The sequence below is a fragment of the Homo sapiens genome, chromosome 10 (genome assembly GCF_000001405.40).
Source record: "Homo sapiens chromosome 10, GRCh38.p14 Primary Assembly".
NCBI classification, from domain to species: Eukaryota; Metazoa; Chordata; class Mammalia; order Primates; family Hominidae; genus Homo; species Homo sapiens.
In genome coordinates, this window is record NC_000010.11 from 15,704,830 (window position 1) to 15,721,240 (window position 16,411).

At 41.8% G+C, this 16,411-nt stretch overlaps 1 protein-coding gene across 3 annotated transcripts in view, besides 1 other annotated feature; it reads right to left on the reverse strand.

The window, feature by feature from the left end:
* ITGA8 (integrin subunit alpha 8) overlaps positions 1 to 15,093 on the reverse strand; it is a 205,969-nt gene extending 190,876 nt beyond the window's left edge. For all 3 annotated transcript variants that reach the window (NM_001291494.2, NM_003638.3, XM_011519752.3), the window contains exons 1-2: positions 14,734 to 15,093; positions 13,937 to 14,070 (exon numbers count right to left, since the gene is read on the reverse strand). In NM_001291494.2, the coding sequence (NP_001278423.1) occupies positions 13,937 to 14,070; positions 14,734 to 14,942 (343 nt within the window). In that variant the 5' untranslated portion in view covers positions 14,943 to 15,093. The remainder of the gene's footprint in view (positions 1 to 13,936; positions 14,071 to 14,733) is intronic.
* Positions 9,607 to 9,807: a silencer, noted in NCBI's record as "peak877 fragment used in MPRA reporter construct". NCBI's record gives its function as "represses an SCP1 promoter by STARR-seq MPRAs in K562 erythroleukemia cells {active_cell/tissue: K562}" and the evidence as "EXISTENCE:reporter gene assay evidence [ECO:0000049][PMID:32103011]".

The following is a 16,411-nucleotide window of genomic DNA, read 5'->3' on the forward strand; positions in this document are numbered from 1 at the left end:
CGATGAAGGCTGTATAAATTTGCCTCCCAATAACACTTGAAAATGTATTTACACTGCCTCCTGTTACATGGTCTTATATTTCTAAGAATCTCATGCCTGCTGCCAAAAGATATAGTAAAGGGTCCCAACCATTCACCTAACAGAACAGTTCGTATTATGGTTTTTGTTGTTGTTGTTGTTTGTTTTTTTAAAGTCACCATTCCCAATGTTACACAAAATAGGTACCCCAGAATTCAAACCTTCTGTGTCTGTAATTTATCCTTAGGGAAGATTAACACTCGAGAGGAAATTATTCTATGGGAGATCTTCTTAAATCCTACCTAAACAGGTAGGGCCATGCTATAGGCTGAACAAAGGCAAAAGGTTACTTATCCAACTTCCTGTCTGGTAATCCTATTATTTCATGACTCCACTTTGCCATTCTGCCACTACTCTGAATTTCCTTTTGCTCCCAACCTTCTCTTTGACCTCCTCAACCTCAGATGGTGACTTTGCTTGTTGTTTCAATGAGAAAATGCAAGCAATGAGAAAAGATCATTTTCTTCCTCCTGCCATCCAATCCAGCAGCTCATCCTCAGTTGTTTCCTGACTCTGCCTGCCCTCCTGCCACTGCAGATGAAATGCGTTTCTGCTGCTCTAAGGCCAGTCCTTCCACTTGTAGAGGAATCCCCTGCATTTCCCTCCACTCAGAAATTGGTTCCTGACTATGGTCTCTCTCTCTTACAGTCATCTGAACTTGATAATTCCTATTAGACTATAATCAAGCTATAATACCTTCTTAACTATTAAATTTCTCTGGTCCCATATATAGCCAAACTTTAAAAATTGCTACACACACTTACTCTCTCCCATTGGCTATCTCCCATTCTCTCTTGACACACTCCACTGTAACTGGATTTTTCAGTCATCAATAACCTTCAGCTGCCAAATCAAATGTTCTAAATTTCCATCCTCATTTCACTTCACCTCACAAGACTTTCTTTATTGGCTTCATGGCTTTCTTTTACCTAACTGGTGGCTCCTTCCTTGTGTTTTGTACACATCCTCCTCAAATCCCCGGTATTTCTGTAAATGTCATGGTGCCCCAGGAGTCAATCTCAAACTCATTCTCACCTCTTTTCTGCTCTTGTGTCTTGGCCTCACTTTGCCTCTCTCCTCTTCTCTTCATCCACACTCACTCCCTAAGTCATGGCCTTAAATATTATCTTTGTATTCAGACATCTTGCCTGAGCTCTCAGTTTATTTATCCAAGTGCCCATTCGACATCTGTTGGGAGGTCTAATAAGCATCTTAAATTTCACATATCTGGACTCAACCCTGGGTATTTCATCTAAGACATGCTCCTTACCCACTGTTCTCTAAGTCTTATTCCTTCAGTTCCTTAGGCCAAAATTTCCTCTTTTTTTGCACTCTTCATCTGATCCATAATGATAACCTACTAATTGCATTTCCAAATAAAGCCCCAAACCACCCATTTCTCAGCTCTAACTGCTACCACTCAATCCCAGCCATACTTCCCTTTCACCGGAAAGGGAACGGTCTTCTACCTAGTCTCCTTGCTTGCTTGCTTGCTTCTGCTCTTCCTTGTCTATAGTCTGTTTTTCAACAAAATCTAAGCTGATCCATTTTTTTCCCTCCTGTCACTCACTCTGTCAGGCTGGAGTGCAGTGACACAATTATAGCTCACTGCATCCTCTAACTCCTGGGCTCAAGTGGTCTTCCCACATCAGCCTTCCTAGTAGCTGGACTACAGGTGCACACTACTGCACCTGCTAATTTTTTAACTTTTTTGTAGAGATAGGATCTTGCTACATTGCCCAGACTGGTCTCAAAGTCTTGGTGTCAAGTGGTCCTCCTGCCTTGGTCTTCCAAAGTGCTGGGATTACAGATGTGAGCCCCCATGACTGACCAAAACTGATCTTTTAAAAAACATAATTCAAATTATGTTACTTCCTTACTCAAAACCCACCATTGGCTACCCACCACTCTTAGAATAAAATCCCAAATCCTGACCCTGGCCATGAAGATACTATACCATCTTGCTTATACCTGGCCTTCTGGCCTAATTTCCTATCACTCTTGCCCCGATTTGCTTTTCTCTAGCTCAGCGACCTTTCTCCATTTCTCAAGCACACCCACATCTCCAGACTCTAACACTGACACTCCTACAACCTAGAACATGTCTCCCTTGGATACCACCTGGCTCCTTTCCTCACTCAAATTAGGTCCTTGCTCAGATATCACCTCCTCAGTGAAAGTTCTTGTGACCACCTGTGGTACAAAAAATAATACCGCTCAAGAGGGCTACATCTGAATCTCCCAAAACTGACTATATTAGGCTACGTGGCAAAGAGGGACTGGACTGAGATTGCAAATGGAATTAAGGTTGCTAATCAGCTGATCTCAAAATGGTACATTATCTTGGATCATACATTTGGACCTAATGTAATGATAAGGATACTATCAGGTGGAAGAAGAGGCCAAAAAAGGAGACCCAGAGATAGGGCAGTGGAAGAAGATGTTGCTGCTTTTGACAAAGGAAAGGATCCCAGAGCCAAGGAATGTGGGTCACCTGTAGGAGCTGGAAAAGGCAAGGAAATAAATAGGTTCTCCCAAGAGCTTCCAGAAGGAATGCAGCTCTGCCAACACCTTGATGCTAGCCCAGGGAGACCCATTTTAGACTTTGGATGCCAGAACTATAAGATAATCAAGGCTAGGTGCAGTGGCTCACACCTTTAATCCCAGCACATTGGGAGGCCGAGATGGGTGGATCACCTGAGGTCAGCAGTTCGAGAGCAGCCTGGCCAACATGGTGAAATCCCGTTTCTACTAAAAATACAAAAATTAGCCATGTGTGGTGGTGGGTGCCTGTAATCCCAGCTACTCAGGAGGCTGAGGCAGGAGAATTGCTTGAACCTGGGAGGTGGAGGTTGCGGTGAGCCTAGATTGTGCCACTACACTCCGGCCTCGGTGACAGAGTGAGTTTCCTTCTAAAAAAAAAAAAAAGGAAAGAAAAAGAAAAAAAAGATAATCAGTTTGTGTTGTTTAAAGCCACTAAGCATGTGGTAATTTGTCATAGTAGCAATGGAAAGCAAATGGCCTGCCCAAGCTAAAATAAATGTGCACACACCGACACACACACACACACACACACACACACACACACACCATTCTCTGTCCTCTTGACCTTCGCTTTCTTTTCTTCCACTTGTCGCTGGCTGTTCCTATGAACCCCATCCGACGGGACAAAATCTTAGGCTTTGTTAGTGGACGTACTCCACGTCAAGAACAGCATCTGCCTGTGCAGGGTTGCAAATAGTAGCCCCTGAAATTTAATTTTACCATTTGCTAATGCTAAGCTTTATTTTCAACTCTCTTTTCCCCCCTTAGATGACATTTTTATAAGTAAAAGTGTGTTAAAGTGTGTAATGATTTAATAATATGTCACCTGAGGAACCAGAGTGAAAGGAAGAAGGTCATCCAGTCTTCCCAGGTAATCTTTGTGGTAAAGAATGGATAATCTATCACAGGAATAGAGAAATGAAAAGAAAAGAGAAAAAAAATTTCCAGTGGAGACCAGGTGGAACAGGTTGGGGGACTGAGTGTTGGTATAAACGTCTCACTCATATCTTTGAATCTGTTCACAAAAACATCCTCTCCTTGCCATGTGTCTATTCATAAGTGAAGGGGTTGACACTGTAGCCCCCAATAACTGTATATTTGAACTGAGTGTCCTAAAAACCTGTCCTGCAAAATTAAAAAAAAAGTTTTAATCACATTTCCCAAAGACAATCTGTTTGTGTGCATTTCCTTTCTCATGCTCTTTTAAAGATGGTAGATACAATTTCGATAGGTGCAGTTAAGTAAAGTTTTCCATAGTTAAACAAATTGGCACAGCAAACCTCCTAGGCATGGTTTGGCCTACAAAATATGTTAAATAATAAATGTCAATTTCAGGTGGAAGCTGTAGCAGACAGTGTGCAATTAGACACACCCCTTTTCCAATTAGGGTGATCTCAGACACCCGTGCCAATAAGGAGTCTCCATGAAGCTGGGTCCCTGTGTGGCTTGAACTGGCCAAGCCTCCCTATCAAATCACACTGAACTTACAGTGTGAGCAAGAAATAAACCTTAGATGCTTTAAGCCAAAGATACGAGGTTGTTTCTACAGCCATTTGGGTCTGCTTTGACCTCATAAATGTGAGGAGAAATAATGAATGTTAACAAAGGCCCCATCCTATGAATCCAATAGGTTGATTTCGTTTGTGAATTCTTAGTGCCTTTTCTAAGAGAATATGCATTGTAAGTGTCATAGAAAGGGAGCAGATGCAGCCATTTACCAACTCAGTTGACATAAAACCTTTTCTGTTCATTTTCGTACAAAAGAATAACGTGCAAGAGATTTTCAGAAACGCTGCTCCAGCTTTCATTCTGTCAGTTCTCCTCCCCGAAACTTCTCACTTTTCTCTGCTCAACCAAGATTGTTGGCAAGTGTGTTGACACACTCTTTACTTAGTAAACAGACACACCTTTACAGAACATTTATAAACCTTACTTGGGACTAAGTAGAATGGCGCACCCCAGAAGAAATGCTCTAGGTAGATTTTATAACTCATCATATATAATGTTTTAAAGGAAAAAAATATTATTATACATAACAGAGCAAGAACTAAACACCAATTCATGCTATGATGTTTGACACTACTTCATGAGTTTATCTGGATGTCTTGACTCTATCCAATGCCTTCCATATTTTAAGGTCTATGGGATTATCTGGACCTATGGTCACTCTTGATTTCTTTCCTACGGGCTCTTATAACAAGTTTTGTGAACTGATTGCAGTATAAATAGACTGTGAATTAACTTCTGGTAAGCTCATCTTACTCAGACACACTCAAAAGCTATTCCGCACACAAACAGCTCTTGAAACTGCCATGTCAGAACAGGTCTGTATTTCTATCTTTAAAGTTAATCTAGAATGAAAACAGGTGAGACTTACACTGTATCTTCTTATTTTTACACATACTGTTACTGAAAATACCCTTGATCTTTAGTATTTTAGAACCTAGGTACTTTATATAAATAAATGCATTTCTAAACCAGTCAACCATCAGCTCCCAAGACAAGAGAGGGAACAACTAAGATGCCATCTTCTAATCCAGAGCTTTAATTCTGATCTTTTATTGTTAATCTTTACAGCACTTTAGTGAACTCAATCATTTCATTTAGAATTTTTTTGTGTGTTTAATTTTTTCATTATTTTTCCTGATCATAAATAAATACTTGTTCATGGTTTGAAAACAAGAAAAAAAATGCATGAGAAAAAAACAGTTTTAATCACATTTCCCAAAGATAGTCTCTCATTACAATTTCCTTCTTATATTTTTCAAGAAGTTGTAGACACAATTTTGACTTTTATGTTTTTTATTTACCACTGAAACACAAATCTTCTCATGTTAATCTTGATTCTTTGTAGACTTCATTTTTAATGGTTATATAATATTTAATTGTGTGCTTTTATGCCCTAATTTGATTGACTACCCACAAATAGGCTGTTCAAAAACATTACTTATTTAGTGTTGTGCCCCTTTTCTTTCTTCTTAAAAAAGGATTTGTAGCTACTTTAGAATTAATTTCTGAAACATGTATCCTGGTGGGAACTATAGGAGGAGAGAAGCCTGAAGTATCAGAAAATCATTCTGGAAGACAAGATGTCCTGGGTGGCTAAGAATGCAGGAGGACATGGTGCAGGGTGTGTGGCAACACGTGTGTATGCAAGAGTTGTTTGCTGTGCTCTAGAGAGACAAGCTGTACTGTGCTGTGTGGCACTGTGACAAAGAGATCAGTTGTGTAACTAGCGAGGCAAGAGGGGGCAGGTATAGGAGACATCTGGGGAAATCATAGGCTCTGACAACTGAGACAACTGGAATAGAACTACAACCTGGCCACAGGAGATTGGCTTCCACTGCTGTACCTGGGGTGAGATGCTGCGTATAGCGTGGGCCGGGTCAGGTCTTTGAATAAACCTATTCCTGTTGCAGTGGTGTGTGCCCTTCTCTCTCGTGTCAGTATGTCCTGGAAGTCAGGGCAGACTGATACAGGGTTTTTTGCAATATCATATTCAAATTTATGTCCTTATGTCAAATATCAGAGCTGAAGAAGAAAACTGACCAAATGTTTCTAAGTAAATACCCTGCAGTGCCATTATACTAATTTTGATAACTACAATCATGTATTTAAAGTGAGCTCTCTTCAGTGACTACCAGTGAGGAAATTTTGTGCCTGAATTTCATAAGGATATAGGAATGACACAAGGAACAACATTTCATTGCATAGATATTCTTATGCAACGTGTTTGCATTCACACTCTTCTTATCAAACACATTCGGAACATATGATCCTTTATTTAAAGAATGTTGAAGAAGTTCCTACATGATGATCTGACCAATCGTTCAGCCTTACTTAGGAGCGGTGGCCTATGCTTCTCAGGGATCTTTGTCTTTACACCCCCAGGTGTTGTTATATCAGACCCTCCCATAGCCTAAGAGCTTATTGACCATGGGCTCAGAGCAACAGCCACAAAACCATATTTAATCATCATATCAAATATGTAACTCTCTTGCCTTCTCCATAAAGGTTTTTTCTCTTCATCTTTTTGTTCATATTATTTATACATTTATTTTATTTACATATTAATATAGATTATTTATTTACGTATTTATAAAATCCACTTTTGGTGATCTACAGCATCATGGGTTTTCATAAATACAGGCAGTCATGTATCCCCCACCACAATCAAGATATAGAAAGTTCCATCAACCTCCCCCCCAAAAGATTCCCTGCTATTACACCTTTGGAGTCAACTCATCTCTTCCACTCCCAATGCCTGGAAATCACTTCTATAAAGACTTATTTTTGTAATCTATACCTTAATTTTACCCCCCAAAAAAAGAAAGAAAGGGTAAATAATCACTTTCTTCAGTGTTTATGGGTCTAGGAAAGTTTCTCAATTTGCAGACCTTCAGGCCAATACACTAAACACCACAGACCTAAACTCTGGCCTTTCAGCAGGGTTGAGGTGGAGCTCCACTCCTTCCAGACCATCTAGTGACATTCATCTAAGAGTTGCTCACCTGAATTCTATAGCAGTCCATAGCTGGTGTATCAGATGTATTTGGTTTTAAGTATAAATCACTTAGTCACAATTAGCTTGCATATCTTAAATCTCCTTATCATGTAACCTGGAATTGAAATTACTTTAATCTATGTTAGGATTTCATTATGGAGGAACACCTTGCTTTATGCAATAAATATGTTCTTTGTAAACATGTATTTAAGCTGAATTTTGAAAAATAAAAATTATTTTAAAATGCTTTCAACATGCTTGCTGATTAAAGGATGAATGAGTGTTTTTTTAATAAAACCAATAATTAGTCTTTCAGCTATCTTGCTCAAAAATCCATGTTCAATGGCTGGGTGTGGCGGCTCATGCCTGTAATCCCAGCACTTTGAGAGGCCAAGGCAGGCAGATCACTTGAAGTCAGGAGTTCAAAACCAGCCTGACCAATATGGTGAAACCCTGTCTCTACTGAAAATACAAAACAAAACAAAAAATCACACAACTAGCTGGGCATGGCAGTGGGCACCTGTAATCCCAGCTACTTGGGAGGCTGAGGCAGGAGAATCATTTTAACCCGGGAGATGGAGGTTGCAGTTAGCTGAGATTGTGCCACTGCATTCCAGCCTGGGTGACAGAACCAGACTCCATTTCAAAAAAATAAAAATAAAATAAAAAATAAAAAAGTCCATGTTCATGTACTGTCATGGTATCCATCAGGGCACCCCTGAGCTGAGCTTTTTCGTAAAGTTGGCAACTCTCTCCATCAATGCAATTCCCAGATACAAGACTCGTTATACACTAAGAAGGAAAGTTCGAATGTGCACATCTCAACCTGTCAGCTTAAATGTAAAAGTGTGTTTTTCCTTTCAGAATAATTTCAAGACTATTTCAAGATAATTTCAAGCCATTTCTCCCAGCATGCTGCAGAGCCTACACGGAATATTCCTGCCAAGAACCTTGAAGCCTGTTCCCTCACACAGACTTCCAGCTTCTTGAAAGAATTTTGCAGATTAAGCAATAGGTGCCTAATGCTCATACTGCTCAACTAGCCATACAGCAGATCTGTTTCCCATTTCTAGTTGGAGTTTCAAGGACTTCCTTTTTCTAATTGCTTCCTCAGTTGCTATGGGCTGTAGGGACCGCTGCCTCCTCCCTTCTCATACCAAGGTTCAGTTGTGTTCTGTTGCATGAAGTCTGAACAAACAGAGAGAAATTTAGGGATGATGGTTGCCTCTGTCATGCCAACATATCCAGTCATAGTAGCCATCATGAATTGCTTCTAGAATAATAAGTAAGACATCCAGCTAAACCACCTTTGATGACTCAGTTGGATCAGGACTTAGCAGAGGAAGATTTCTGCAAATATTGTGGTGTGTGCTTGTGTGCACACACTGCTTCTTTTTTTCTGAGTAGCAAAACTTACTCTCATTGTTAAGTCTTGAAAAGAGGAGGTTATCTTTGGGCTTCCGTCTTCCCCCACCTTTGTAATCTTCCAAGTGAACGTATTAGAGCACAGATTTCTCCTGTCCCTAAGTCCTATCACATTTATGTTATTTCCTCTGTCATTTACTTGGGTAGCTCTAACCTACATTTTTCTTTTCTTTGTTCCTGAACAAAAACTGATTTCTTTCCGGGGAAACTAGAAAGGCAAGACTTATGCAGCCAATATGTTTCCCAACCCTCACATGAGAAAAAGGGCACACCGAACACTATAAAAAAACAACCCTAAGCCAGTTGCAGAACCAGATGCTTTAAGCTGCTTCTCATTGTGGGATCACTCAACACAAAATAAAACAGACCCCCCAAAACAAAGGCTTCCGGTCTCCCGCAATTCCAACAAAAACCTTGTCATCCAGAACTTTGAAATATCCTAATCCAATTGTCTTCCATTTTAAGTTTTCTTTTCTTTTCTTTTTCTTTTTCCTTTTATTTTTATTTTTATTTTTATTTTTTAACACAGAGATACTAAGTTGAGGCCAGGCAAATTCTAGTGGTCTTTCTCAGATGACTTCCAAATCTCAATGGCACCTCCTACCTCTTCCTGTCAACTTCTTATGTGGGCTCCTAACTGTGACTGGTTCCCAGCTGTATTGCTTCTCTGTCATTATTAGTGCTTTGATGATTATCATAATTAATTAGCACACATCACCTTTTTCCTCAAACATTTTACTTGAGCATTTAAAACAATCAAATACTTGTATGCTATACTTTGGAACTATGTTGCAATTTGCTCTTCATTATTCCAAAGATGACAGTCCATTTCATTGTCTCATTCGTTCTCCCTTTTAGCAGAAGGGTTACAGCCTAACATTCTTTAACCCATGCATTGGTTTAGAAAATGTAGGAAAAAGAAGAAAGGGAACCTTGAAGTAGACACAGAAGCGAGAGGCATGAATTAGGCAGATGTGATATTTTAAACTCTTTAAGACATAGGGCATAGTTTAAAGAGTTCCTGAGACAAAAGTGAAAGAAACCAATTTGGTGATAGGAGGAATTTTCTTCTATTGAAGTAAAGAGGGAAAGACAGAAGGGAGATCAGAGAAGTGCTTTTTTGGAACCCCTTGATTCTGTACAGAGCAGGAAAATTATCTACTCTTTGCATCTCCCCCACCAGCATATGCTTCTAGTATTCATGCATTTGAAGTGCTGGGCCTAGTGCAAGCTTCCTCTATTTTTGTATTCATCATGAGAAATGTTAAAGAAAATCAAGTTATATGATAAGGTAAAAATAAAATAAATAATGATTATTTCATGAAAAAAAACCTGAAAGGCAGTTTTTAGAAAATGGCAATTGACCTTAAATAAATGGAGGAACAGGATCTCAACTGGACTCTGGGACTCAGTTATAGGGCTGTCTCCTTCAAAGTCTAAGCTGAGAGAATTTAGTTGGTTACCAGAGCAGAATACCCAATTGTAGACACCCCAGGGACCTGAACAAGTTGAAACAACTTCATTGAAAGGTCAAATTTACTTAGGATGTCTTGAATTCAGATGTCGTAGTAAAAGTAGGGTAAAAGACCAGGAAAGTCACTGATGTCTTGACAGATGAATATTTGCAATATACATTTTTATGCCTGACACATCACACTCCATTATGCGGATGTCAATTTGGGGCCACTACTTAGTTAAGCAGAGAACTTTTCTTCCTTTTTTTCGGGGGAGAACAGTACGTTACTGGCACTGAGCAGAGAGTAACTCAGGAGGCAGCTTATCAGAGACCATGAAGGGGCATTCTGTGGGAGTCTGAGCAAACCAGGGGCATATGCGACCCATCATTCCCACCAAGACAAACCCTGCTTCTACAATGCTTCCACCAAAACTGTTTATCCTTTCCAACCCCTCTCTGGAGAATAATTTAAAATGGAATTGTAAAGCCACTGCTGGAGTAGGGGAATGGAGGAGAGGGAGGGAAGGCAAATATAGCCTTCCAAAGCTCCTTGGGGGCTTAGTCATAATCCTGAACTTGCAGTCTATCAGGGTCAATCCTCTCCCCATTTCTGGAAGGAAGGTGAGGGGAACAAGCAGGCTGCGAACTGGGCAGACCTCTATTCCAGTCCTGCCTCTACCACCTACCACTGTACGGTCTTGGGTATACCTTTGATGTCAGTTTCCTTATTTACAGAATGAGTTTTACATAGTTGTTTTGATTTGTTTTATGTAGTAGAAACAATGTGTGTACCGTGTCTGGTACATAGTAGCGATCTGTAAATGGGATGCCTCTGGCAACACTGACTTCAGGACCCAGAGCCAGTGATGTCTGTTTCCACCTTTCATCTTTCGTTTTAACATTCTACTTTGTCCACGAAGTGGATGTTCAGAATGGAAATAGCTACACTGGCATCTGCTGTGCCTTCTTCACTTGCACAGCATTGCATCAAGTAGCTGCCACTGCCAGTTCCACTATCTGAGGGTATAAGGACAAAGCAATTGGCACAGATGAGGTATAGAGGGTGAGCAACCACTTGGTAGCAAACACCTGAGCTGTGACCCTGTGGATTCCTTCCCCACACCCATTTTCAGGCCATTCCCACTGGCAATCAAGGTTTCTGGGCCCATAGTACCCCCTGATGGCCGACATGGGGAACTTTCTTTTCCCAACAATTCCTTTCTCCTCCCCAGTGGGACCTCCCTGTCTTTCACAGGTCACAGCCTTGTTCATTCTGTCATGGACCATTCATTTCTCACAAACTTGTGTAGCCTTTCCTGCCTTGCTTTTTAAATTTCCTGTTCAATTATTTCAGGAACATTGATTTTTCTTCCCCTTTCTTTCTCTCACTTTGTTCCATTTGTGAATTCTGAAATTATTATGATTGTAGTTGATAAGTATAATAGTAGGATTAGTGCATTCATCTATTTATCAAGTAAACCACTATATATTTGGAAGTAAAATAAGACATAGTGTGGAATGAGCAGCATCAATCTCTAAAGCCCTTTGAGATATCTAGACATTTTCCTAACCTACACAAAAGAGGACATTGTCTTCTCCAAGTAACACTGACATTTTCTGGACATTATTTTTCTGTTTAATTGCCAACTTGTTCTAGTTTGTCCCCTACTGTTTTACTGCAAATATAATTCAGCTACAATAAGGGTTAAATGCATTCCTGTGGGCTATTCTGGAAACCAAAGCACATCTTTCAGCATTAGTTCTGTATGGGAGAGTGAATTCAAGGCTTCAAGCAATTGCTTTAGAATGAACTTGGAAAATATAACCTATTGTATTTTTTTTTTTTTTTTTGAGATGGAGTTTCACTCTTGTTGCCCAGGCTGGAGTGCAATGGTGCAATCTTGGCTAACTGCAACCTCTCCCTCCTGGGTTCAAGCAATTCTCCTGTCTCAGCCTCCCAAGTAGCTGGGATTACACCCTTAGGCCCGGCTGATTTTGTATTTTTAGTAGAGATGGGGTTTCACCATGTTGGTCAGGCTGGTCTTGAACTCCTGACCTCAAGTGATCCACCTGCCTCGGCCTCCCAAAGTGCTGGAATTACAGGCATAAGCCACCACGCCTGGCCTACCTATTGTAATTTAATATTGAAAATTTTCAGTTAGGAGTGGTCAGTTATTTTTTGAATTCATAGTTGACATCTGGATTCTCTGGTTTTTAATCTGTTGGCCTATGACATCTATTGGGATGAGTACTTACAAAGTAAGTCAGTTGTAACTTATCAGGGCAGACATTGATTCTTCCTTTATCAAAAGAAAAAAATACTAATCAGATCCTGATTTGATGTTATGAGACTATACAAGAAGATTATTAAATTCTTTTCCACGACCATAAATTGCTTCTTGGTGAAAACACATCAACCATGTCTCAAAATATACTTTCCTTAATGTAAATTCAAATAATGTTAATGATTCATGTCTTTATTTGGCCTGCTTTAAAATACTTTTAAAAATACAAATGATTCGGATATGAATTATTAAAATGGCATTAATTTTGTGTTTAAATGTTTAATTCTTTTGGTTTACGAAGCTTATTCTTAAACTAGAGAGCAGTAGCTAGAAAGTGTCTCAAGTCTTGATAAAATAACTAATTAAAAGATTTCTGTCACAAATTAACATCAAAAGGTTTAATCTTCCTGGTTGCTAATACTCAAATTTAAAAGTAAAAGCTTATAAAAACTGGTATAAAATAACAGAATATTTAATAAAATGATAAGCTATTGTGACCATATATAGACAGGCATGATAAAAATATAATTTTCCAATGCTTTTATAAAATACTTTCCTAATTTGGTCATAATTCAAGGTAATGCTTGTATAGTCTGTTTTGCTTTGAAATATTTTCATATTTATGAAACTGAAATTGTTTTCTCCTTTAACATAAAAGATACAAATTATAGTAACAAGTAAACATCATCCAGCCAATTTCATCGAAATTCTGTGAAAATATTCCGCATAAATTCCATATACGCACTAATCAAACAATTAAAAATCAAAGAAATCAAGTATGTCATAAAATAGTTGTGTGGTACACAAGGTATTTTAAACGATTATTTATCAAGGACCATTGTTCAAGCTGACATATTCGCATTTTTCTGGAAAGAGATATTTGCTTTCTGATAATATATACCTTTTGAATTCATAAAGTTTTGGTGGTAAAAATTAAAGCATTCGGTGTTAATGTTTTTGAAAGCATCGCATTTAAATTATTTTCTCAGGCTCTAAAGAGAAAACACCAGAGGAAACGTAACCAGACTGAATTGTTTAAAATGTATTTTCCCTTTAATTAAATAAGAAACATCTGTCTAGGGATTTTGGAAATGAATGTAATCCATCCACACTCTGCCTGCACTAGTTTGCATTCAATGTCTAATACTTTGAAAGAAAATTCTTTCTTTCTGTAAAGAATTAAACAGCAACGCGGAGTGATGTCTGGGTCTGCAGCAGCTAAGTCCTGCCTCCCGAGCTTGGGCACTGGAAACGCTAAGGATCTCTCTTTTTCCAGATCTGTCCTTGAGAAGCAACCAAATTCTCTCCACAGTCAAAGTTAGGACATAGTTTTTGTATTTCTCCAAAACATCCACTCACCCTGAAAATGCTCATCTCAGAAAGGTAAAGAAACAGGAGTTGCCAGGATGCATCCGAACACTCAGGGTCAAAATAGTGTCCTTTCTCTAGGGTTCACTAAACGTCTTCCTTCAGTTAACTGAGAGTTGAAAAAACTGATTTCTCTAGAGACCCACATAGCCCACAATACGGACATATCAGACAAGCTAAACGAGCAGCACACCAAGACAGCGGGAAGTCGCCTCTGGGATGGCCCTGGTTCTTCCAAACCCAGGCCCACAGCTTAGAAGGACAAATCTCACTTACTGGTGGTGTCAAACGGTATCTGCCTGCACTGCGCAGACCCCTCCGCGGGCCAAGGACAGTAATAGACGGCTCCCCCTTCCACGATATCGGGCTGGCTGGTGTTGGCTTTGGGCGCCCCCACCAAGACACTCGCTCTGCAAAAGAGTTGGAGAAAGTCACTCTTTGGGCGCCACAAAACCGTGCGCATGCAATGCAGTCTCTGTAACCTCCTGCCCGGGGACACTGGGGCAGGCGTGGAGGGCATGAACGTATTTATGATGAGGACCGACTGTCAAACTTGATTTCCTCTTGGAAACGGGGGTCCGCAACCTGGTTTGCAAGAATGCAAACGGTCCTGCTTCTCTAGGTGGAGCTCTGTGGGTACAGTGAGATGAGAGAAGGGGGTGGGGTAGGAGGAAGCCAAGGACAGAGCCCAGCTGCTGGTAGCCGACAGCTCTTGCGCCCAGACGCAATGGTTACAGACTCTGCATAAACAGACCTCGCTGTGGTGGCGGTTTTAACTGGCTTGGGTCTTCTGGGTCCTGTTCTCTCCTTTGTAGGATGCGTGCGTCTTGGTACCTGGAACACCCAGGACTTGCGTGTTCTATGCAAGTGGCATGTCTCTAGCTCAAAATTCACAAGGCACATCTAGCATGGCAGGGGAGAGAAGGGGCTGGTGGCGGGGAGAGGGACGGGACCCCGGGCAGGCGGCAGGACGGGGATCCCAGGCTGCGGGGGGACTCCGCGGCAGAGCCGCTGGGACCTGACCCGGGAGCGCCTTCGTCCCCGCGCGCACCTCCCCGGGTCGGGCGACTTACGTGCGGGCGTCGGGTATGTGGAAGTCCACGGCGTAGCCGAAGTAGCTGCCCTTGGGGCCGCTGTACACTGTGAGCTTTTCCACGTCCAGGTTGAACGCCTGACAGGCGGGGGACCACAGCAACATCCCCAGCGCGGCCGCGGCGCAGCAGAGGGGCGCGATCAGCGGCGCCTGGCTTCCCCGGGGACCGCGGCTGGCCCCGGGCGACATCTCCCTCCGCCCCGGTGGGTGGCTGCTACCCAGGAGCGCGAGCCGAGGACCCCTGCGGGGCAAGGGGGGCTGGTGGAATCTGGCGGTCCCCAGCTGCCCGTGTCCCGGGTCGGTGCGCTCGGCGCACCCGTGGTGACAGTGCCCGGCGTCTGCTCCCACCCGCCCGCCCGCCCAGCCGGCTCGGGGGGCTGGCCCAGGGGCTCTAGCCCTCCTCCGGCCGCGGGCAGGGACCAGCTCTCTCGCGGCGCCTCCTCGCGGCTGGTCTAGAGCCAGGGACTCCCGGGCGGCCCAGCTGGTGGCTGGAGCGCTGGGTGCCTCTTCGGGCTGCCCGGATTTCTATTGCAGTCCCATCTCAAGGACAATCAGTTTCGTCTCTGTCACCTCAAGCTATTTATTGCTTTAGAAGCAATGCCCCAGGTGGAGCGAGAGCTTGCTCCAGTTGTGTCAAAGGCGCAGCTTGGATGGAGAATGTGAAAACCAACCCCACCACCAGGAGGGGCAAAGCAATTATCTCTTCATCACCTCTGCAGCCTGACCTCAGCGTTCACGGCTTTGCACGTCTGTGATGAGAGTTAAAGTTGAAATGCAACAACCCTCTCCTCCCCTAAGTCCACCCCACCTCCTGGCAGAGCTAACTCATATACAAGAAAGCCTCGAGGGTTTTTTTTTGTTTTTGTTGTTGGGTGTCTGTGTGTGTGTGTGTGTGTGCGCGCGCGCCTGTGTGTGTGCATGTGTGAATTTTTTGTTTTTGTTTGTTTGGTTGGTTTGCTTTGTTTTATTTATTTTTTTTTTCTTTTTAGAGATAGGGTCTCTCTCTCGCCCAAGCTGGAGTGCAATGGTGCTATCATAGATCAATGAAATCTCAAACTCCTGGGCTCGAGCGATCCTCCTGCCTCAGCCTCCTGATTAGCTGGTACTGCAGATGACACATCACACCTGGTTAATTTTCTAATTTTTTTTTGTTGACACTGAGTCTGCTCATGTGGCCTAGGCTGGTCTCGATCTCCTGGCCTCAAGCCGTCCTGCCACCTCGAGTTGACTTTTAAAATTTCTTTTCTTTCTTTGTTTCTCTTTCTTTCTCCTTCTTCTTCTTCTTCTTTTTTTTTTTTTTTTTTTTTTTAAGGAGATGGGGGTCTCACCATGTTGTTCAACATGGTCTTGAACTCCTGGACTCAAGCGATCCTCCCACCTAAGCCTCCCACAGTGCTGGGATTTCAGGGTAAGCCGCCTTGCCCAGCCCTTGAGATTTTATTTAAATCTTTCTTAAAGGCATCTTGGGCATATTAAATGACTTAGTAGTAAATCTCCATCCTGTGTAATTGTGATGAAGTTTGGCGCAGTTAAGAATGTTGGAATTTACAGTTTACTTTCTGCGGGGGTAGAAGGTGTAGTTCACAGTCTACAGGAGTTCAGATTTCGGTTCTGATCCGTGGGTGTTGTCAATCTCTTCCCATGTCTCCTGTGTCGGA